The following is a 24,492-nucleotide window of genomic DNA, read 5'->3' on the forward strand; positions in this document are numbered from 1 at the left end:
GCCATCGATGTCATTGAGTGGAAACCCTGAGCCCCTCATTGGGTCAGACCTGATCAGCCACCTCTGCACCTGAATAAATGCACTCAGTCTCTTTATTTCAAGTGGGAATGGCACTTTCTGCTCGTGGAGCACAGTCACGTCTCTTCTCACTCTCTTGCCAAAGGAGAAATGCCAGGCCCAGAAGCACTGGGTCCTGGATGGTACAGGCCAAACCTAGTGCTGGCGGTGGGTGGGAAGCAGCCTTGGACTTTTTCTCTCTGCTGGGACCAAGAGTTTTCCTCAGAATGTAGAGAGGATTGAGACCTCCAGGGGCAAAGCTGGGGACCCTGCAGCACGCGCTGGCCTGCCCTTTGGGTCAGCACCCTGGTCAGCTCCACAGAAGGGCTTCACCCTGGATGAAGAGATAATCCCTTTTTAGTGAGAGCAGGCTCCCAGCTTTGTGCACTATGACATCATCCCACTAAGCAGCCTCCACGCCAGCATCCCTGGGCTCCCGCCTCTGCAGTCCAGGCTGAGGAGAAATTACAGATGCGGAAACTCATCAGCCAGGGACAGAGGTGCCTCTGTTACAAGGGGAGGGCCAGGAACACAGCCTATGTTGGGACCTAGAAGTCCTGAGCCCCACACCCTTGCCTCCATTCTCCAAGGCCCATTTACCGTTATCAGCTTCTGGGATTTAAGAAACTGCTGTCGGGAGAGGTATGGGAGCCAGCCTGGAAGAGGCAACTGGTCATTCAACTGTAGCCCAGAGGCACAAACTGACACCCCAGACAGCTGAGTTTGGACAAGGGCAGAGGGACAGCCAGTGGCTATAAGCCCACACTATGGAGGGAGGCTGCTGTGTTGAGACCCCCAGCTCTACACTGACTGTTTATCTGTGGAGTCTGGGGCAAGTTGATTAACTGCTCAGTGCCTCAGTTTCACTAGCTCTAAAGTGGGGCGAGTAATTGTGCCTATCATAAATGGGTATGATTTTGGCAGTGCCGGGGGCATCATACTGAAAATAAGTGCCTTGTACATTGTGGGTACCCAGGAAGCCAGTTTACAGCCCCTCAGAGGAGACCCATCAGCAGGCATCTGAGGGAGCCTGGAGCCCTGCATCCTGCAGGTGCCTGGGGTCTTGTGCCCAGGAGAAGCTGCTCCCTCACTCCACAGCAGTCTACAGAGCACCCCCTGACCAGGGGTACACCTGTTTGTGCAGGTGTCAGCAGGGAGCCCTGGGCCTCTCTGGGCTCTGACTTTCCCTGGCAGGACTGTAGAGGGCCCAGAACCCTGCCTTCTCCCAGCCAGGCCCTTCCCTCCCTTCCCCAAACTCACGGCCTCCTCACCGCTCTCTGCCTCAGATTCAGGACTAATCTCACTATGTCCTTCATCCCTGTTTGCATCAGGGGCTGCAAGAAGCTCAGCTCACCTCTCCCTCAAGGCCATGAATACTCCTTTTCTGACCCCATCTGCTGCAACCTTTTCTCCAAGCCCTCTGGAGGCCCTCCCTGGAACATTCTTTCCTTTCTTGCTTGGACTGAAACCTAGCTCTCCCAAGACCTGCTTCCCCTCCCTGGGCATCCTCCTATGTGGGGCTGCTTTCCTCCCTCCCTGCCCCTCATGCCTTCACTGGAGTGGGACAGGTCCTTACGAACCATCTCCTATGCCCGTTCTGAGGAGCCCTCTGGTTCTGAATCCCTGCACAAGCTCTGTTGCCCTGGCCGTCTCTCCTCCCCAGCACCACACCACCAGATTGCTCTTGTAGGGCACGACGTGGTCTCCATGTGGCTGAGCCCAACCGCCAGTCCTCAGGCCTCATGTTTCTTTGGTCATGAGGATTTCCTCACCTCACCACCTCCCCGTCCCTGAAACACTTCCAGGAAATGAGGCCACTTCTCTGCAATTTTGGTTGTTCAGTAATGTGCTATTGTGCTCTTTAAGAAACTGATACACATCTTGGTGTGTTTAAGCCTTTAGGGAAGTGGGAGGATACTGGGGGCTGCTGTGTGAGCACCTCTATGCCATACCAAGTAAGACCAGTGAGGGAAACTGGACCGCTAAGCTGCAGGGCTACCTCCCCCTCCAGGATGCTTTTCACATCTTCCAAGATCCCCTCACTGGAGATCTTCCATGGCCTGGACTCATCTTAGGCCTCCCTGTTCTGTCCATGTGCTACTGGGGTGCCTGCCGATCAGATAATTGGTGATGCTGTCACTGAACTGACTGCCCGCGGGGACTCGTGGTCTTTGGCATTCCAGGCTCCACCACAGTCTCTGCATCCACAGGCAACTGTGGTCCTGGCTGCTCTCTGCTGTTAGGTTTCCCTTCCATTTTTACTTATTGCCTAAAGAACTTCATACAAAACTCTACTTAAAAGCAGTTTATTCCACAGTCCCACATAGAACACATCAACTATTTTAATTTTTTTCTTCTTTCCTATCACTGTCTAAAAGCACTCTTTTTTTTTTTTACATAGTAAGACCCAGTGTGGTTGACTGTATCTAATTTTTAACCTATTATTAGATGGGCAAAATTTTTTTTTTTTTTTTTGAGACAGAGTCTGCTCTGGGTGATTCTCTTTGATTCTCTCTGTTCTCATTCCATCACATGCTCTATGGACGCATAACCCTTCAATTGCACTCATATAACCTGTCAGTAACTTTTCACTCCCTGAGCCAAGAGCTTCTCCTTCCAAGCTTCAGCAAGACCAATTTCTGACCCATGGAGCAATGGGTAACACCAGCCTCACCGAACTCACATGCCCAGTTGTGGAAGCAAATTTCATTTTATGGTAATTCTATTTTGCCAGTACAGGCGGTGTAGCACGTTAGTTTATAGGTTAACCTTTGGCGTTAAAGAGATCCAGCTCTTGGCGTGTCTCCTGAGTAATTTACTTAACTGAGACCCACATTCCCCATCTGTATAATGACTAAAACAAAACTAATTCTGTCTCAAAGTGATTGTGACACTTCAAGGAGACAACATACAGAAGTGCCCACATACCCAATTTATGGCTGTTCTTATTTTCATTCATTTTTTTTTTTTTTTTGAGATGGAATCTCGTTCTATCACCCAGGTTGGAGTGCAGTGGGCATGATCTCGGCTCACTGCAAACTCCGCCTCCCAGGTTCACGCCATTCTCCTGCCTCAGCCTCCCAAGTAGCTGGGACTACAAGCGCCCACCACCACACCCAGCTAATGTTTTGTATTTTTAGTAGAGACGGGGTTTCACTGTGTGAGCCAGGATGGTCTCGATTTCCTGACCTCGTAATCCGCCCACCTTGCACCTGCTTATTAACTACAGCCATATGTAGCAGAATGACATTTTGGTCAATGACAGAACACATGTATGACAGTGGTCCCATAAGATTATAACAAAGCTGAAAATTTCCTTTTCCCCAGTAAAGTCGTACCTGTTAGAAGGTCGGCGCAGTGCATTACTTACGTGTCTGTGGTGAGGCGGGTGTAAACAAACCTACTGCGCTGCGTCATTACAGTAAAACAACACTTCTTTTTGGAGAACATTTTAAGTAATATGTTATACAAATGACAGACTAACCACAGTGATGGAATTTTTAGAAAGAGATAAAACTAAGAGTCCGTGAGGATTTGGAGAAACGGCTACTCACATATGCTGTTAGAGGAGCATGAATTGGTGTCATCATTTTGGAAAAAGTTTGGCATTATTTATAACAATGAAAGATATGCCCCCTTCTAACAGTCTACTCCACAAAAGTGAGTGCTGGTGTTATTCCAAAACCACTGACAAAAATACTCAAAGCACCATTACTTGAGATAGCCACAATTACATTAAAAATAACCCTGGCCAGGCATGGTGATACATGCCTATAATCCAAGCACTTTGGGAGGCTGAGGCGGGCAGATCGCCTGAGCTGAGGAGTTCCTGACTAGCCTGGCCAACATGGTGAAACCCTGTCTCCACCAAAAATACAAAAAATTAGCCAGGCATGGTGGTGGACACCTGTAGTCCCCACTACTCGGGAGGCTGAGGCACGAGAATGGCGTGAACCCGGGAGGCGGAGCTTGCAGTGAGCCGAGATCGCACCACTGCACTCCAGCCTGGGTGACAGAGCGAGACTCCATCTCAAAAAAAAAAAAAAAGAAAAAAAAAAGTCTAGAACTTAAGTGATGAATAGCAACTTAGAGAACAAAACCAAAGCCAAATTTTTGAAGACAGGAAATAGTGTGATACTATCTTTTGTGGGAAGGAACTTTTGGCTTCCCAAAAAATTAGAGAACTGGGAGAAAGAAGCCACATCTCAGAATCTGTGATTGGGTTGGGCAGTGGAGGCTGGAAAAGTGCTCAAGGTCAAACTTTTCTCCTCCCCTCAAAGGAGACTGGAGTTTTACCAGTGACCCCAGAGTGAATATTCACTCCACCATCCACTCCGGGAGATCCCTTTAAACCAGGAGTGCACAGTGAGGACAGAAACATGAATGTGCACTAACAAGTCCTGAAAGTTCAGAGGGTGATTCTCGATTTCCCCTTGGCACACAGCACAAGGACTGTTTCTCTAGGTTCCAGGAAATGCCTGTGAGAGAGTTGTGTCCCCCAGATTCCCTTCATCACAGATGACACCCAGTGCTTAGGCCTATACCCCTTGTGCCCACTCCCAAGGAGTGTTGACTAATCCAAACCAAAGGCTATGATGTTCCACAGGGCACAAAAGAGCAGGTGCACTGCAAAGATAATCTCTCATGAACGCAGCACCCTCATAGCCCATAGAGACAGTTCTTACCATGATGCCAAGAAACTCTGAAAACAACAAGCCAGACCTCACACATATTTCCATTTTCTTTCTGATTTCATACCCCCTCCTTCAGCCCCTCCTCACAAGCAACAGGGATAACCTGGAGGCTCCTGGGAACCTTTTCCCATTGGGTTTTTGCTGGCACGTAGTTCCCTACCTGGATGAATCTCTTCATCACTTAGACTCTCCAGCGTCAAGTCTTTAGAAACAAAAACACCAGAATAAGTCATTAGAGAGAGTGACTCACCCACTCCTCCTACTTTACTTTAGCTGAAGCTGAGTGATGAGCTAGTCTCCCACTCCATGCTGCTTCATACATGATCCCCTAATCTTTCTTCTGGGTCGACAAACCTTCCTACAGCTTCTCAGGCCAGAGTTCTATACTGGCAGAATCACTTTCACGAGAACCCCAAGCCTCTTTCCCAGCAGGACCCCAGAATCAGGTTTCTATACACTGAAGCTAGCAAGTTTTTTCCCTCAGGAAGTGAGTTATCTCATGGTACATACCACTTTCTATCCGAGCTGTTATCTGCAATTATATAAAAGAAAACATTATGAAAATCAGATTCTGCTGTGCGCTTCACACAGATCTGTTATTCTCTGGACAACGATAAAAAACCAGAAGGCAGTATAGTGATTGAGCCATAGGTCAAAGTCCCCCAAAGACTAGCACAGAGGATAGCTATAGAAAAACAAGACCTCTATTTGTAGAATTTACCTTTAATTTTATATGCAAATGCACAATGCTTAATTCAAGGTGGAAAACTGTTGTTGTGGAAAATGCCTCAGTATTCCAGTTGATAATGGATGCTGTCATTTAAAAGCACCCTAGTGGACCACATATAAGTTGGGAAGACACTCCTATGGAATTCCAGCCCCACAAAGAGAATAGTGTACAGTGTACATAATGTGCATTGCCAGATTTTCATATCAAAATTAATTGAGAAATAAAGGAATCAGGAAAGCAACATTGCTGTAGAAGACAAAAAAAGGGAGGTCTTACGTGGATGTCATCATCATCTTCTTCTTCTTCATCTTTGTGTCTCAGTGAGCATCTTAAAAACAGGCTATCTTCAGAACAAGCTGGAAGGACACAGAGGAAAGATCAGTGCACCGGTGGTTGGTGACTCTGAGTCACTCGGGGAGCTTTGCTGGATGTGGTGTATGGAGGTGGTTGATTAACAAGCATGGACTGAGTTGATGCTGGGCTATTCCCCTGAGTGGAAGAGGGATGGCAAAGAAGGGAAGCATGAAAGACATGAGACATGGAGGCCTTGGCCTTGTACTAGAGGCATCAGGAAGCAACACAAAACAATCACCCCCAAATGTAAGTAAAATGCACACTAAGGGTCAGTGGAAGAGTGCCTTCCTCCCTCTCAAATGTTTTGAAACTCTTCAAAACCAACAGGATTTTCTTAACGTATTCAAGACTGTGTCAGTACACTAGGATCTAATTATGCTGATACTACATTTAGCATCTCTTTTAAAGGATTTATTACTTATTTAAAATCATATTTTATTTTGAAATGGACTCAATTTTACCCAAATTATTCTATTAATGACACTTTCTTTTTCATAGAGATCATTTTAAAAATTCAATATTAAAATGCTACAATTAAAAATAGTCATGATTTCCTCTTTGTAAGTCTTCTTCTGGAACAACTTCTACACACACTTTTGGACAGCAGCTCCTGTGTCACTCTCCCTGAGGAGATTCCCTAAAAATCAGGCTTCATTCAAACAGGCCAAGCCCACAGAGCCTGCTCTAACTATACCAGTGAAGCTGAGAGACGTGACTCTGAACACTTTCTGCCATGAGGATAAGTTTCCAGGTTCAAATATACATTATCTACTGAACTGGGGAAATGTATACCAATACAAATGAACAAATTCATGAAAAAAAGTCCATGAGTATGGGGGTGATTTTTGGTTAGCTATCTTATATAAAAATTATTTTTTTGGTTGAGCACTCTGGCTCAGACCTGTAATCCCAGCAGTTTGGGAGGCTGAGGTGGGTGGATGACCTGAGGTCAGCAGTTCATGACCAGCCTGGCCAACATGGTAAAACCCCGTCTCTACTAAAAATACAAAAAAATTAGCCAGGCATGGCGGTGAGTGCCTGTAATTCCAGCTACTCAGGAGGCTGAGGCAGGAGAATCACTTGAATCTTGGAGGCAGAGGTTGCAGTGAGCCGCGATCACGCCATTGCACTCCAGCCTGGGCAAGAACAGTGAAACTCCATCTCAAAATATACATATATATTTATTTGATACCTATTCATTCAGACATATAAAATATTGGTATAAGAAACCAAAAATTTTTATCAGTCATGTTAAATCTAATTATCAGCTGTCAACATGAAGATCCTCGGAAGTAAAGAAGGTACAAATAAGTGGAAAGGCATCCTGTATTCATGGATAGGAAGACTAAACCTGACTAACACACAATACTACACAGATGATCTACAGACTCACAAGAACTGCTATCAAACTGGCAACAGCCATCTGTGCAGAAATGGAAAACATAATCCTACAACTTTAATGAATTTTATATGTCTCAAGTAACCATGATGATGTTAAAACAATAGTGTTAGAGGTTGCACATTCATGAGATTGAAATCCACACACACACACAAATACAGAAATTCAGACAGCATGGTTCTAGCATGGGGGCACTCATAAGTTTCACAGATATAGAGAGCCAAGAATTGAATGCACACATACACTGTAAACTGATCTTCAACAAAAGTGTCAAAAATACACAATGGGGAAAGGACAGCCTCTTCCACAAATGATGGTAAAACTGCATATTCTCATTCAAATAAAGAAATAGAATGTTGACAGTGTGCTCAAGGTTGTGCTTCTCCCTCCATTTCCAAGACACTGAAGCTTGTGCAGTGAGCCCAGAGTGTATTTTCATTCTGTCCTCCATGCCCAGGAAGAGCTCTTGATACCAGAGGTAAGCAAGAAAAACAGACAAATGAATGTGCTGCCATGAAACCTAACAGTTCATAAGGTGAGAATTAATCTCTCCTATGCATCTGGGCACACCACAGAAGAATTTTGTCTCCAGAATTAAGTAACTGCCTGTGACAGAACTCTGTCCTAAACCAAAGGCTTTGAGATTTTGCAGTGGCACAGGCAGAAAAGAGCAGGTGTTCTAGAAAGATCATCTGTAAATAATAAAGTAAGAAGAGGTGATCGAAAACACAGGATACTCAAAAGCCCATAAACATAGTACTTCTCACCATGATGACATTAAACTCTAAAAAGAACAAACTTGACCTATATTTACTTTTTCTTTATCTATTTCTGCACCTTCCCTAACCCTGCCAAGCAGCAGGTATAACATGAAGGCTCCTGGAAATGCTGTATTATTAGACCCCACTTGAAATCTTTTTACCTACCTGGAAAGGCATACTCTTCCCTGCTGAGATTCTCCAGAATCCAATCTTTAGAACCACCAACATCAGGATAAGTCAGTGAGAGGTGCACTCACTTCTACTCCAGGTGAAGACACACTGGCTCACACAAAATCTCCTGGTTGGTCCTCTGGGTTCACACACATTTCTACAGCCCCTCTTCTCATAGCTATACACTTGCAGAATCATTTGCTCTCACCACACCCCCAATATTTTTTAACAGGAACCCAGATTAAGGTTTCCATATATTAAAGCCAGCAAGTTTGTTTCTCAGAAAGTGAGTTAGTTCAAGGTACATACCCTGGACAGGTGACGGTAAAATCTGCAATGAGATAAAAGAAGATGCTGTAAGGATCAGATCAATTCTGCCACACCCCTTACACAGATCTGTTAGTCTCTTGATGACTTCACAAAACTATTTGTAAGACAGTGGTAAGTCAAGGTCAAAGACCAAACATTCTAGCATAGAGGACATGTGTGGAAAAGACAAGAGCTTTTCCCACAGAATTTATCTTTGAAGTTGATTTAGATTGGTAAATGCACAATGTCTAATCCAAGGAGAAAAACTGGTGTGGAGGAAATGCCTCTGCATTACAGTTGATGATGGATGCTGTCATTTAAAAACATCCTAGTGTGTCATGCATTAGATGAAAAGAAACTCCCACTGAACTCCATCCTCACAAAGAGAATTGTGTATGTTGTACATAATGTGACTTGTCATATTTTTATATCAAAATTAATTGAGAAGGGAAGAAATCAGGTGAAGGAAATAATGTATACAGTGGTCCATGTTTAATACAAAGTGCCTTGAACCGGTCTAGGTCAGCAAAAAAACCAGAATAGGATATGCTAGGCTCCTGCTTGGATTGGCAATGCCTGCTTGTTGGGCCCCCTCTCCTGGGAAATCTCACTTTTACTGTTTTTCAGCTGCCTGAGTCCATTCTTTGGGATTGGATTGGTGAGTTTGTTTCTCACATCAGAAAACCAACATTTCCTTAGAAGACAAAGAAAGGTTGTCTTACCTGGGCATCATCATCATCATCATCACAGTCATCATCTTCACTTCGTGGTAGGCATACTAAACTCAGGTTGTCCTCAGAAGAACCTGGAAGCACACAGAGGAAAGATCCGTGCCCTGGTTGTTTGTGACTGTGAGTCACTCAGGGAGCTTTGCTGGATGTGGTATATGGAGGTGGTTGATTAACAAACATGGACTGGTTAATGCTGGAAGAGGGATGGCAGAGGAGGGGAGCAGGCATGAGGCATGGAGGCCTTGGCCTTGTACTAGAGGCATCACGCAGCAACACAAAACAGTCAACCCCAAATGGAACTAAAGCACACACTAAGGGTCAATGGAAGAGTGCCTTCCTCCCTCTCAAATGTTTTGAAACTCTTCTAAACAAACAGTATTTTCTTAATGTATTCAAGACTGTGTAAGTACACTGGACATAATTATGCTGGTACAACATCTAGCATCTGTTTTAAAGGATTAATTACTTAATTTATTGGTGAAATGGATTCAATTTTACCCAAATTACTCTATTCTATTGATCACACATTCTTTTTTTTTTTTTTTTTTGAGACAGAGTCTCACTCTGTCCCCCAGGTTGGAGTGCAGTGGTGTGATCTCAGCTCACTGCAAGCTCCACCTCCCAGGTTTGCACCATTCTCCTACCTCAGCTTCCCGAGTAGCTGGGACTACAGGCACCCACCACCACGTCTGGCTAATTTTTTTGTATTTTTAGTGGAGTTGGAGTTTCACCGTGTTAGCCAGGATGGTCTCCATCTCCTGATCTCATGATCCACCCACCTCGGCCTCCCAAAGTGCTGGGATTACAGGGGTGAGCCACCGCACCCAGCTGATCACAATTTTTTTTTTCATAGAGATCATTTAAAAAATTAAATATTAAAATACTAAAATTAAAAATAGTCATGATTTCCTCTTTGTAAGTCTTCTTCTGGAACCATGGTGTGTGAACACAAACTTTTGGGTCCCTGTGATCAAGGGCTTCAGCAGCTCTGTGTCAATCTCCCTGAGGAGATTCCCTAAAGATCAGGCTTCATTGAAACAGGCCAAGCTCACAGAGCCTGCTCTACCTGTACCAGTGAAGCTGAGAGAGGTGACTCTGAACACTTTCTGCCATGAGGATAAGTTTCCAGGTTCAAATATACATGATCTACTGAAATGAGGAAATGTATATCAATAGAAATGAACAAATTCATGAAAAAATGTCCATGAGTACGGGGGTGATTTTTGGTTAACTAGCTTATGTAATTTTTTTACCTTGATGCCTATTCATTCAGACATACAAAATATTGGTATAAGATATCACAAATTTGTCCAGGCGCGGTGGCTCATGCCTGTAATCCCAGCACTTTGGGAGGCCGAGGTGGGGGGATCACGAGGTCAAGAGATCGAGACCATCCTGGCCAACATGGTAAAACCACGTCTCTACTAAATCTTCAAAAATTAGCTGGACGTGGTGGCATGCATCTGTAGTCCCAGCTACTAGGGAGGATAAGGCAGGAGAATCAGTTCAACCTGGAAGGCAGAGGTGGCAGTGAGGAGAGATCACATCACTGCACCCCAGTATGGTGACAAGAGTGAGACTCCGTCTCAAAAAAAAAAAAAAAAAAGAAAAAGAAATCACAAATTTATATTAGTCATGTTAAATCTAACTAATCAGCTGTCAACATAAAGTTTCTAAAAGTAAAAAACATACAAATAAGTTGAAAGGCTTCCCATATTCATGGATAGGAAGACTCAGCATGACTAACACACAATACTACACACATGATCTACAGACTCACAAGAACTGCTATCAAACCGGTAACAGCCACCTGCGGAGAAATGGAAAAGTTAATCTAAGACTTTAAGGAATCTCTATGTGCCTCAAATAACCATGGTAATGTTGAAAAAGAACAGTGTTGGAGGATGCACATTCATGAGATTGAAATCTACAAAAAACAGAGAAATGCAAACAGCATGCTTCCAGCATGGAGGTATCACAGATATAGAATACAGAGCCCAGAATTAAATGCACACATACAGAGTCAGCTGATCTTCAACAAAGTTGTCAAGAATACACAATGGGGAAAGGAAAGCCTCTTCCACAAATGATGGTAAAACTGCATATTCTCATTCACATGAAAAAACAGAATGCTGATAGATGCTGAAGGTTGTGCTTCTCCCTCCATTTCCAAGACACTGGAGCTATTGCAGTGAGCCCAGAGTGAATTTTCATTCTGTCCTCCACACTCAGGGAGATGTCTTGATACCAGAGGTAAACAGCAAGCACAGACAAATGAATGTGCTGCCATGAAACCTAACAGTTCATAAGGTGAGGATCCATTTCTCCTATGCATCTGGGCACACCACAGAATTCTGTCTCCAGGAGTGAGTAACTGCTTGTGACAGAACTGTGTCCCACACCAAAGACTCTGAGATTTTGCAGTGCCAGAGGCAGAAAAGAGCAGGTGTTCTCAGAAAAATAAACTTTAAATAATAAAGCAAGAAGAGGTGAACAAAAACATAGGATACTCAAAAGCCCATAAACATAGTACTTCTCATCATGATGACATTAAACTCTGAAAAGAACTCGGCTTATATTTACTTTTTCTTTTTCTCTTTTTACACCCTCCCTCACCTCCCAAGCAGCAGATATAACATGAAGGTTCCTGGAAATGCTGTTTTATTAGATCCCACCTCAAGTCTTGTTGCCCACCTGGAAAGGTAACCTCTTCCCTGCTGAGATTCTCCAGAATCCACTCTTTATAACCACCAACATCAGGATAGGTCAGTGAGCGGTGCACTCACTTCTCCAACTCCAGGTGAAGACACACTGGCTCACACAAAATCTCCTGCTTGGTCCTCTGGTTCACACACATTTCTACAGCCCCTCTGCTCATAGTTATACACTTGCAGAATCATTTGCTCTCACCACACCCCCAATATTTTTAACAGGAACCCAGATTAAGGTTCCTATATATTAAAGCCAGCAAGTTTGTTTCTCAGAAAGTGAGTTAGTTCAAGGTACATACCCTGGACACGTGACGGTAAAATCTGCAACGAGACAAAAGAAGATGCTATGAGGATCAGATCAATTCTGCTGCACCCCTTACACAGATCTGTTATTCTCTTGATGACTTCAGAAAACTAGTTGTGAAACTGTTGTTGAGTCAAGGTCAAAGGCCAAACATTCTAGCATAGAGAACACCTGTGGAAAAGACAAGAGTTTTCCCACAGAATTTATCTTTAAGGTATTGGTATTGGTATCTTTAAGGCTATTGACTTAGATTGGTAAATGCACAATGCCTAATCCAAAGAGAAAAACTGGTGTGGAGGAAAATGCCTCTGCATTACAGTAGATGATGGACACCATCATTTAAAAACATCCTAGTGTGTCATGTATTCGATGAAAAGAAACTCCCGCTGAACTCCATCCTCACAGAGAGAACTGTGTATGTTGTATATAATGCGCCTTGTCATATTTTTATACCAAGATTAATTGAGAAGGAAAGAAATCAGGTGAAGGAAATAATGTATACAGTGGTCCATTTTTAACACAATCTGCCTTGAACTGGTTTAGGTGAGCAAAACACAGAAGAAATAGGATATGCTGGGCTCCTGCTTGGATGGGCAATGCCTGCTTGTTGGGCCCCCTCTCCTCCCCACTTAATTGCCCTCACTTCAACCAAAGAAGTTTAGTCTAAGTTGAAAGTTTACTAGCCTGCAAAATAGCTCGCTTTGTCTGTTCTTATCAGCCTGCCCAGCTACTTAGGTCATAGGTCAAATACTTGAAGAGCCCCTGAGCTCACTAGGATGGTAATGCATTGTGGGCTGCAACAAAATGCAGTAAGACAACCATAAAAAAAAAAATACCTAAAGCCCCTCCCCAACAATCAATATGTGACACCCACGAAGATTGTGACCTCATAGTACTCAGCCTATGAGGAACCAGGGTAGGGACCTGCACACTAGGGGATAAATTGCTTGTTGAAACTGTGCTGGGTGTGTCTGCCCATAAGGTACCGGATCTTGCAAGATCTTGCAAGACTGTCATTAAAAGTCTCACTTTCGGCCAGGTGGGGTGGCTCATGCCTGTAATACCAGCACTTTCGGAAGCCGAGGTGGGTGGATTACCTGCGGTCAGGAGTTCGAGACCAGCCTGGCCAAAATGGTAAAACACCGTCTCTACTAAGAATACAAAAATTATCTGGGCATGAAGACACATGCCTGTAATCCCAGCTACCTGGGAGGCTGAGGCAGGAGAATTCATTGAGCCCAGGAGATGGAGCCGAGATTGCACCACTGCACTCCAGCCTGGTGAACTGAGTGAGACTCTGTCTCAAACAAAAACAAAAACAAAACAAAACAAAAAAAGAAAAGAAAAGAAAAAAGAAACAAAGAAAGGAAAGAAAATCTCACTTTTGTTGTTTATAGCTCCCTGAGTCCATTCTTTGGGATTGGACTGGTGAGTTTGTTTCTCACATCAGAAAACCAACATTTCCTTAGAAGACAAAGAAAGATTGTCTTACCTGGGCATCATCATCATCATCATCATCACAGTCATCATCTTCACTTCGTGGTAGGCATACTAAACTCAGGTTGTCCTCAGAAGAACCTGGAAGGACACAGAGGAAAGATCCGTGCCCTGGTTGATTGTGACTGTGAGTCACTCAGGGAGCTTTGCTGGATGTGGTGTATGGAGGTGGTTGATTAACAAGCATGGACTGAGTTAATGCTGGGCTATTCCCCTGAGTGGAAGAGGGATGGCAGAGGAGGGGAGCAGGAAAGACATGAGACATGGAGGCCTTGGCCTTGTACTAGAGGCATCATGCAGCAACACAAAACAGTCAACCCCAAATGGAACTAAAGCATACACTAAGGGTCAATGGAAGAGTGCCTTCCTACCTCTCAAATGTTTTGAAACTCTTCAAAACCAACAGTATTTTCTTAATGTATTCAAGATCGTGTCAGTACACTAGGATCCAATTATGCTGGTACTACATTTAGCATCTGTTTTAAAAGATCTATTACTTAATTAAAAGTCTATTTTATTGGTGAAATGGACTCAATTTTACCCAAATTACTCTATTAATCACACATTCTTTTTCATAGAGACCATTTAAAAAAGAATATGAAAATGCTACAATTAAAAATAGTCATGATTTCCTCTTTGTAAGTCTTCTTCTGGAATAATGGTGTGTGCCCACAACCTTTTGGGCCCCTGTAATCAAGGGCTTCATCAGCTCTGTGTCACTCTCCCTCAGGAGATTCCGTAAAGATCAGGTTTCATTCAAACAGGCCAAGCTCACACAGCCTGCTCTAACTACACCAGTGAATCTGAGAGACGTGACTCTGAACACTTTCTGCCATGAGGATAAGTTTCCAGGTTCAAATATACATGATCTATGGAAATGAGGAAATGTATACCAATACAAATGAACAAATTCATTAAAAAATGTCCATGAGGAAAAGCGTGATTTTTTGGTTAACTAGCTTACATAAATTTTTTTTGTTTGATGCCTATTGTACCAAAAAATATTGGTACAAGATATCACAAATTTGGCTGGGCATGGTGGCTCATGCCTATAATCCCAGCACTTTTTGGGAGGCTGAGGCGGGCAGATCACGACATCAAAAGATTGAGACCATCCCGGCCAACATGGTAAAACCACATCTCTACTAAAAATACAAAAATTATCTAGGCATGGTGGCACATGACTGTAGTCCCAGCTACTCAGGAGGATAAGGCAGAAAAATCACTTGCACCCAGGAGGCAGAGGTAGAAGTGAGCAGAGATCACATCACTGCACCCCAGTATGGTGACAGAGTGAGACTCCATCTCAAAAAACAAAAAAGAAAAGAAAAAAATAGAAATCACAAATTTATATCAGTCTTGTTAAATCTAACTAATCAGCTGTCAACATAAAGATTCTAGAAAGTAAAGAACATACAAATAAGTAGAAAGGCATCCCATATTCATGGATAGGAAGACTGAGCCTGACTAACACACAATACTACACAAATAATCTACAGATTAACAACTGCTATCAAACTGGTAACAGCCATGTGTGCAGAAATGGAAAAGATAATCCTCAGACTTTAATGAATTTTCATTTGCCTCAAATAAACTTGGTAATGTTGGAAAAGAATAGTGTTGGTGGATGCACATTCATGAGATTGAAATCTACAAAAAACAGAAATTCAGACAGCATGCTTCTAGCTTGGGGGCACCCATAAGTATCACAGATGTAGAATAGAGAGCCCAGAATTAAATGCACACATACAGAGTCAGCTGATCTTCAATGAAGGTACCAAGAATACACAATGAGGAAAGGAAAGTCTCTTCCACAAATGATGGTAAAACTGCATATTCTCAACAGAATGCTGACAGTGTGCTCAAGGTTGTGCTTCTCTCTCAACAGAATGCTGACAGTGTGCTCAAGGTTGTGCTTCTCCCTCCATTTCCAAGACACTGGACCTTTTGCAGTGAGCCCAGAGTGAATTTTCATTCTGTCCTCCACACTCAGGGAGATGTCTTGATACCAGAGGTAAACAGCAAGCACAGACAAATGAATGTGCTGCCATGAAACCTAACAGTTCATAAGGTGAGGATCCATTTCTCCTATGCATCTGGCACACCGCAGAAGAATTCTGTCTCCAGGAGTGAGTAACTGCTTGTGACAGAACTGTGTCCCAAACCACAGGCTCTGAGATTTTGCAGTGGCACAGGCAGAAAAGAGCAGGTGTTCTCAGAAAAATCATCTTTAAATAATAAAGCAAGAAGAAATGATCAAAAACACAGGATACTCAATAGCCCATAAACATAATACTTCTCACCTGATGACATTAAACTCTGAAAATAACAAACTCAGCTTCTATTTACTTTTTCTTTTTCTGTTTCTACACCCTCCCTCAGCCTCCCAAGCAGCAGGTATAACATGAAGGTTCTTGTAAATGCTGTTTTATTAGACCCCATCTGAAGTATTGTTACCTACCTGAAAAAGCATAGTCTTCCCCACTAAAGTTCTCCAGAATCCACTCTTTAGGATTCTGGTATCTTTACCAACATCAGGATAAGTCAGTGAGAGGTGCACTCACTTCTACTCCAGGTGAAGACACACTGGCTCACACAAAATCTCCTCATTGGTCCTCTGGGTTCACACACATTTCTACATCCTCTCTGCTCATAATTATACACTCGCAGAATCATTTGCTCTCACCAGACCCCCAATATTTTTTAACAGGAATCCAGATTAAGGTTTCTATATATTAAAGCTAGCAAGTTTGTTTCTCAGAAAGTGAGTTAGTTCAAGGTACGTACCCTGGACAGGTGATGGTAAAATCTGCAATGAGACAAAAGAAGATGCTATGAGGATCAGATCAATTCTGCTGCACCCCCTACACAGATCAGTTATTCTCTTGATGACTTCAGAAAACTACTTTTGAAACAGTGGTTGAGTCCATGTCAAAGACAAAACACTTTAGCATAGAGGACATGAGTGAAAAGACAAGAGCTTTTCCCACAGAATTTCTTTGAGGTTGATTTAGGTTGGTAAATGCACAATGCCTAATTTAAAGAGGAAAACTGGTGTGGAGGAAAATGCCTCTGCATTACAGTTGATGATGGATGCTGTCATTTAAAAACATCCTAGTGTGTCATGTATTAGATGAAAAGAAACTCCCACTGAATTCCATCCTCACAAAGACAATTGTGTACGTTGTACATAATGTGTCTTGTTATATTTTTATATCAAAATTAATTGAGAAGGAAAGAAATCAGGTGAAGGAAATAATGTATACAGTGGTCCATTTTTAACACAAACTGTCTTGAACCAGTGTAGGTCAGCAAAAAAACAGAAGAAATAGGATATGCTGGGCTCCTGCTTGGATGGGCAATGCCTGCTTGTTGGGCTCCCTTTCCTCCCCACTTAGTTGCCCTCACTGGAACCAAAGAAGTTTAGTCTAAGTTGAAAGTTTACTAGCCTGCAAAATAGCTCGCTTTGTCTGTTCTTATCAGCCTGCCCAACTACTTAGGTCATAAGTCAAATACTTGAAGAGACCCTGAGCTGACTAGGATGTCAATGCAGTGTGGGCTGCAACAAAATGCAGTAAGACAACCATAAAAAAAAATACCTAAAGCCCCTACCCAACAATCGATGTGTGACACCCGGGAAGATTGTGACCTCATAGTACTCAGCCTATGAGGAACCAGAGGAGTGACCTGCACACTCGGGGATAAATTGCTTGTTGAAACCGTTCTGGGTGTGTCTGCACCCAGATCTTGCAAGACCATCATTAAAAGTCTTACTTTTGCTGTTCTGCAGGCCTCTGAGTCCATTCTTTGGGTTTAGATGGGTGAATTTGTTTCTGACATCAGGAAAGCAACATTTCCTTAGAAGGCAAAGAAAGGGGGTCTTACCTTGGCATCATCATTGTCTTCCTCACTTGATGGCAGAAATTTTAAACTCAGGCGGTCCTCAGGGGGACCTAAAAGGACACAGAGTTAATGTCAGTGCCCTGGTGGTTGGAGACTGGGAGTCCCTCAGGGAGCTTTGCTGGATGCGGCACATGGAGCGTGGGACTGAAGGTTCGGAGACCATCTCAGAGAAACAACTGTGTTCAAGTAGTGAGCATGAGGGAGTCTCACCAGATACCTTGCATCTTAGCCAGTGCCCAGACCTAATAAGACTCTTGCATTCCGAAGTCCCAGAAGATATTAACCAATCAAAAATCAGGGCTTTGATGTTTGCTGTGACATAGGAAAAACTGGTCTTCTGGGAAAGGTAATCATTAAATATCAGAGCAAGAAAAAAAATGGTTACAAACACAGCACACAAAGCCCATGGATACAAATTGTCTCATATCTATCTTATTAAAATTCCAAAGGAACAAGTCAGACTTCTACACATATTTCCTTTGGTTCTGACTTCATTGCCCTTTTCCTAGGTTCCAAAGCAACAGGTGTCACTCAACTGCTCCCCAGAGATCCTCCTAGAGTATCATTCTCTAGCTGCAGATCTGCCTCATTGCAGCTGCCCTCATGGATGGTGTCCATTGGCCAATCATTAAGAGACAAAAACTCTGCAAGAAGTTATTCCAGAGAGCAACTCGCCCAGCCTCCTACTGCAGGTGAGGCCACACTGGGTTGCACAAGATTGCTCTGCACTTTCCTAGGTGTTGTCAGACTCTCCCTGGTCTCTGTGGAGTCAGAGGTCTCTAAAAAGGCATTGCTCACACTTGCCAGCCTTTGAGTGAGAAAGAGGAACTGAAGGAACCACTTTTAACTTTTTCCTTCCACTGGCCCATTACAGGTCTCACCTCCAATCTCACAGCCCTGAGATTCCCACTTTGATGTGCACGCTTTGAGTTACAGGAGTTCAACAATTGGTCCCTCAGCCAGGCTCACAGCAGATGTGAAAGAGCATTCTGCGGGGATGTAAATCTCTCCACTTCATTAACATAAGGCTGATGGGCCATTGCACGGTGGCTGTTGTGATGAGGTTCTGATTTTTTTTTTTTTTTTTTTTTGAGACGGAGTTTCACTCTTGCTGCCCAGGCTGGAGTACAATGGCATGATCTCGGCTCACTGCAACCTCTGCCTCCCAGGTTCAGGTGATTCTCCTGCCTCAGTTTCCCAAGTAGCTGGGATTACAGGTGTGCGTCACCACACCTGGCTAATTTTTGCATTTTTAGTAGAGATGGGGTTTCACCATGTTGGCCAGGCTGGTCTCGAACTCCTGACCTCAGATGATCCACTGGCCCTGGCCTCCCAAAGTGCTGGAATTACAGGTGTGAGCCACCACGCCCGGCCCTGAACTTTTAATTGTAAATAGTTAAATGTATTTAAATATGAGGAGGCACAGATATGACTGAGAACCTCACTAGATGGCACAGGAGATCCAGACATGAGGAAGACATGACTCCCCTCCCCTGGTGTTTTCTTGCAAAATAGTTTGCAGCTCTGCTCCTACCATATGTTTATGGTTACTTCCTGGGCATCTACACAAGGGCCAGTCACTGTGTGGGGCTGGGGATATGACAACAATGAGAACAACATCCAGGTCCAGAGGGATTCCAGCAGGGGGTGCACGTGCACACAGGGGAAGAGCGTGGCCCTGCACAGCCTGTCTAGACAGGATCAGAGCAGCAGGAGCCAAGGGGCAGGGGCACCTCACTGTCCTCAGGAGCTCAACTTCATCTCCAGGGACCCTGACTCAGAAACTGGGGCAGCCTCCAGGATTGGTGTAGGGCTCAACAGGCTGGACAGGCTGAGAAGGGAACATTTCCACAACTAAGCTAGATCCCACCCCAGAGGCGACCTAGAACTCATCCCAGGGGTGTGTTCATTACAATGCCCATGGGGCCTAACATGTTCTCCCCAGGACTGAGCTCTGGGATAAGGACTAATGAGGAAGACACAGTCACTGCCCTGGCAGGAAACACCCATAGCCAGGGCCCCTCTACCCACCCTGTGGGAAGACACAACACAGATAGAGTTTGACACTGAAGATTCCAAACCTTCTATAAAATAAGTGGAAACTGATGTGTGCTGGATTCCACAGAAGAGTTGCAAGGATGAGCTGGACTCTGGAATCAGTCCCCATCCCTCTGCTGAGCTCATGGTGCACTGGAACTTGTGTCCCTCCCCACCTCCCCTGCTACTCAGGAGTGCTGCAGCTACAGGCTCAGTGCTAGGGGGCTCTGTCCAGTTGATACACACGTCAGCCAGGCACAGTGGCTCACGCCTGTAATCCTAGAACTTTGGGAGGCCGAGGTGGGTGGATCACTTGATGTCAGGAGTTTGAGACCAGCCTGGCCAACATGGAGAAACCCTGTCTCTGCTACAAATATAAAAATTAGTTGGGTGCGGTGGCACATGCCTGTAATTCCAGCTACTCAGCAGGCTGAGGCAGCAGAATCAGTTGAACTTGGGAGGTGGACGTTGCAGTGAGCTGAGATCGCACAACTGCACTACTCCAGCCTGGGCAACAGAGTGAGACTCCACCTCAAAAAACAGACAAACAAAAACACATTTCTGAGCCAGACAACCCTTGGCAAATAGTGTCTCCTCAAGGCCATTCCTCAAGTGACTTCCATAAGAGGTGAAAAAGAAAAAGTCATCTGTCCCAGCCCCAGGAAGATCAGGCCTGGGACCTGTCTGTGTCTGTCCTGACCCTGAAGTCCATCCCTGCTGACTTGTGTCCTGTCTGCTCTGTGTCAGAGAAGTGGGGACCTGATTCCTGCTCTGCCCCCCCACCAATTTCTGCCAGTGTCAACGGCCATCATCGCACAAAGAGATGGAGAAGACAAGAGAAAGCAATGAAACTCCATTCTTGAGGCATTTAGGATGATGTCCATGCCATGCTCTCGGCAGACAGGAAGGCCAGGTCCTGTTCACTCCTACTCAGAAGGGGTCTCAGATATATGAGTACTAACCCTGTTAGATATTTCTCCTCCGCTCTTCTCTTTAATTTTTTGTTTTGTTTGTTTGTTTGTTTTGAGAAGCAGTCTCAGTCACTGAGGCTGGAGTGCAATGGCTCGATCTCAGCTCACTGCAACCTCTGCCTCTTGGGTTCAAGTGATTCTCCTGCCTCAACCTCCCGAGTAGCTGGGATTACAGGCACCCACCACCACATCCAACTCATTTTTATATTTTCAGTAGAGACAGGGTTTCGCCAGGTTGGCCAGGCTGGTCTCAAACTCCTAACCTCAGGCAATCCACCCACCTCGGCCTCCCAAAGTGCTGGGATTACAGGCATGAGCCACCGCACCCTGCCCATGTCTTCCATTTATTTGCACTGTGTGTGCATCCATTGAGTCAGTGGCTGCTCATGCTCACACCAGCCCCCAACAGTGGGACAGTCCATCATGGGGATCAGTACATGGGGATCAGTACATGGGGATCAGTACATGAGTGTTGAGCCTCACTAACCTACTGGTGCAAGAGGTCTCCAATGAGGGTGATCGGCACCAGGCTAATAATAATATTGTCCTGAGTTCTGACGTGGCACTGGCCCTTGTCTGTCTGCTATGGATTGCAGCATTTCTTTTTATTTATTTCTTTATGTTTTTGAGACAGAGTCTCACTCTGTCACCCAGGCTGGAGGGGGCAGTGGCTCGATCTCGGCTCACTGCAACCTCCACCTCCCAGGTTCAAGCGATTCTCCAGCCTCAGCCACCCAAGTACCTAGGACTACAGGTATGGGCCACCATGGCCAGCTAATTTTTGTATTTTTATTAGAGACAGGTTTTTACCATGTTGGCCAGGCTGGTCTCAAGCTCCTGACCTCAGGTGATCTGCTGTCTTGGCATCCCAAAGTGCTGGGATTACAGGTGTGAGCCACCGTGCCCGGCCATGGATTGGAGCATTTCTAAGGCTTGAGGTACTCATGTTACTAAATACAATGCAATATCTTCCTGATCCTTCCCTGCTTTGACCAAGTGCTGAGGAATGACCCCAGCACTGACAGATGTTGACCTGCACTGTTCCATGTGATCCCTTACACTTCTCAGAATCTGTGAGCTGACCAGAAGCCTGTGAGCTTTCTATGTGTATTTCACAGTAATGCCCATGCCAACGTCTATTGTTCCGTGTACCTTTTGCTACCCAGAGTTATGTGACCACTGGGGCCCCATCTGATGGTGGGCAATGTTTGGCACACTTATAGGCCATCCACTACCACTACCAGGGGCACGCATAGGTGCTGGAACTCCCTGGTGTGGGGTCATATATCACGGTGGAGTGATGACACGGTTGAGTAATGCAGACCATCAACATCGGGACCCATTTCTGGGTTCACTTTTGCCTCTTCCATTCAGGAGGTCAAAATCTGGGTTCATTCCTTTCCACACTCTCTCTCTCTCTAAGAAGTAGGGATATTAAACTGACCTTCAGGTACACTGTGTTGAGTGAAAAAGAGGTCATTTATGTAAAGTGTATGGTGGTGCTGAAGTTTTTCTTCCTTTTTATTAGAAGAATGACATGACTTGGGAGGCTGAGGTGAGAGGACCACCATAGGCCAGGAATTCAAGAAAACTGACACTTGCACTTGTGCTGGGCATGCGGGTCCACATTTTTGGGGGAAAACACACATTTACAAACACTACACATTAATTCACCCCTGGCTATCTCCCAACCCTCATGCACACAAACCCACATCATCTAAATGACACGGCTGTTTCCAGGGACTCTAGTGGATGATGACAGTTCTTCACTGAGCCATCTGTTTCTCACACTGCACTCCAGGTCCTCACTCCTATCAGGAACCTGAAGCCAGGCAGGCTCTCCAGACAGAAGCAGGGAAGAGAGTCCCCTGCGAACCATCACTTAGATTTGTCATCAGCAAAGGAGTGGTCTTAGAATACGTACGGTGTTAGACAGGGAATGATACACACTGGGGCCTGTCAGGGGGCAGGGGAAGGGAGAGAATATGGATAAACAGTTAATGCATGCAGGGCTTCATACCTAGGTGATGGGTTGACAGGTGCAGCAAACCACCATGGCACACTTTTACCTACGTAACAAACCTGTACATCCTGCACATGTACCTCGGAACTTAAAAAAAATTAAATTAGGAGCCGGGCGCGATGCCTCATGCCTGTAATCACAGCACTTTGGGAGGCCGAGGCGGGCAGATCACCAGGTCAGGAGATCGAGACCATTCTGGCTAACACAGTGAAATCCCGTCTCTACTAAAAATACAAAAAATTAGCCGGGCGTGGTAGTGGGCACCTGTAGTCCCTACTCAGGAGGCTGATGCTAGAGAATCGCTTGAACCCAGGAGGCAGAGGTTGCAGTGAGCTGAGATCCCGCCACTGCACTCCAGCCTGGGCAACAGAGCAAGACTCCATCTAAAATAAATAAATAAATAAATAAATAAATAATAAATAAAATTTACAAAAAATAAGCTACCTTAAGAGATGGAAGAAAAACAATCTGACCCTTAGCTGGTTCCTTCATTTAGGTACCAAACCGGCCAGATAGGTGAGGCTAGAGAATGGGATGGGGACTCCAAAATTGGGGTATTTGAATTTTCATTGAGAAAAGGGCTCTCCCTTTTCTAGATCAAAAAGTCTCAACGACAAAGACAGGAGGCAGAGTCAGCCTTTGTCCCCCATGCCCAGACCTGGGAAAGCTGGCTATGGACAGGAGGGAGCTGGAAGCTGAGGATGTCTCTGGGGATGAGGGTAAGGGAAGGGGGTGGGGGTGGCCAGAGGTGTGCCAGAGGGTAAACGGCACCCGTGGCTTTTTTACCTGTGGGCATCTTTTGGTTGCTGATGTGCTGCAGGTCTTGGCCCTCCGTGGCTCCCACATCCAGCTTGCCAGGCTCTACAGTAGTGGATTCTGATGTTGCAGCAGCCACAGTCTCATAAATATCAGTATCAGATTCATAACAGGGTGCGTCCTTCCCCCTGGGCCAGCCACAGTGGGAGTTGATACAACAGGTCAGTATATTCCCCATGGGGCCTCTCCATGCCTCTCCACTCCTGCCTCAGCCTTCAGCGAAATTGTAACTGTGCTGCCCTAGCAGCCACACTACTGAGGGTGGCCCTGCACTTTTAGAAGCAGCCTGACCCCAGGCAGATCTGGGTCCTCAGCCCTTATTCTGCCGCCACCTCCCAAACTAGCTGGTCTATGAGGTCAGGGACCTGCTGTCTTCTTTGAAAAATAAACGAACATGACAAGCACCCAAAGGTGCAAAAACTGCCATCAAAGAGCACAGTTGGAGCTCCTCCTCCCTCCACTGCGAGCTACTGACTGAGGGCTGCTGGCCCTGGCTGATGCTTATAACCCACAAAGCTTCCTATGTCACCTGGTTACCAGGAAACAGCCAGGTCAGGCTAGTGACTCACAATGTCCAGCCCCACAGCCCCCCCCAATGCCTCATAATGCCTGTCCCTGCTGCTGCCCACCTTGTGGCCCCCCTGCCCCTCTGTGGGGACTGCACTACTCAGGCTTTTATTCACCCTATGCTGCCTGAGCTTTCCAGTCCTGAGCTAAGTGCAGGGGGAGTTGTTATTGCGAGTCACCCTTGGCAAGAAACTCAATAGAAAACCCTGGTATGGCCGGGAGTGGTGGCTCACGCCTGTAATCCTAGCACTTTGGGAGGCTGAGCGGGGGGGGTGGATCACTTGAGGTCAGGAGTTCAAGACCAGCCTGGCCAACATGGTGAAAACTTGTCTCTACTAAAAATACAAAATATTAGCTCGGCCTGGTGGCGGGCACCTGCAATCCTAGCTACTCAGGAGGCTGAGGCAGGAGAATCGCTTGAATCCAGGAGGCGGAGGTTGCACAGTGAGCCAAGATC

General features: G+C 45.2%; 1 protein-coding gene across 7 annotated transcripts in view; it reads right to left on the bottom strand.

Annotated features, from left to right (window-relative positions):
- The window catches only part of DRICH1 (aspartate rich 1), a 51,937-nt gene extending 27,498 nt beyond the window's left edge, over positions 1-24,439 (bottom strand). For 2 of the 7 annotated variants that reach the window (XM_011530206.2, XM_047441388.1), the window contains exons 1-11: positions 23,439-23,944; positions 17,604-17,671; positions 16,506-16,527; positions 13,714-13,799; positions 12,217-12,238; positions 10,987-11,016; positions 9,198-9,280; positions 8,476-8,497; positions 5,758-5,837; positions 5,262-5,283; positions 4,912-4,953 (exon numbers count right to left, since the gene is read on the bottom strand). In XM_011530206.2, the coding sequence (XP_011528508.1) occupies positions 4,912-4,953; positions 5,262-5,283; positions 5,758-5,837; positions 8,476-8,497; positions 9,198-9,280; positions 10,987-11,016; positions 12,217-12,238; positions 13,714-13,799; positions 16,506-16,527; positions 17,604-17,671; positions 23,439-23,646 (685 nt within the window). In that variant the 5' untranslated portion in view covers positions 23,647-23,944. Of the gene's footprint in view, positions 1-74; positions 392-4,911; positions 4,954-5,261; positions 5,355-5,757; positions 5,838-8,475; positions 8,498-9,197; positions 9,281-10,986; positions 11,017-12,216; positions 12,239-13,713; positions 13,800-16,505; positions 16,528-17,603; positions 17,672-23,438; positions 23,945-24,410 lie in introns of those variants that run through there. The other 5 variants (XM_011530210.3, NM_016449.4, XM_011530208.3 and 2 more) reach the window with 5 other exon arrangements.
- Positions 24,440-24,492: the final 53 nt, after the last annotated feature.

Source organism: Homo sapiens, chromosome 22 (genome assembly GCF_000001405.40).
Source record: "Homo sapiens chromosome 22, GRCh38.p14 Primary Assembly".
Classification (NCBI taxonomy): Eukaryota; Metazoa; Chordata; class Mammalia; order Primates; family Hominidae; genus Homo; species Homo sapiens.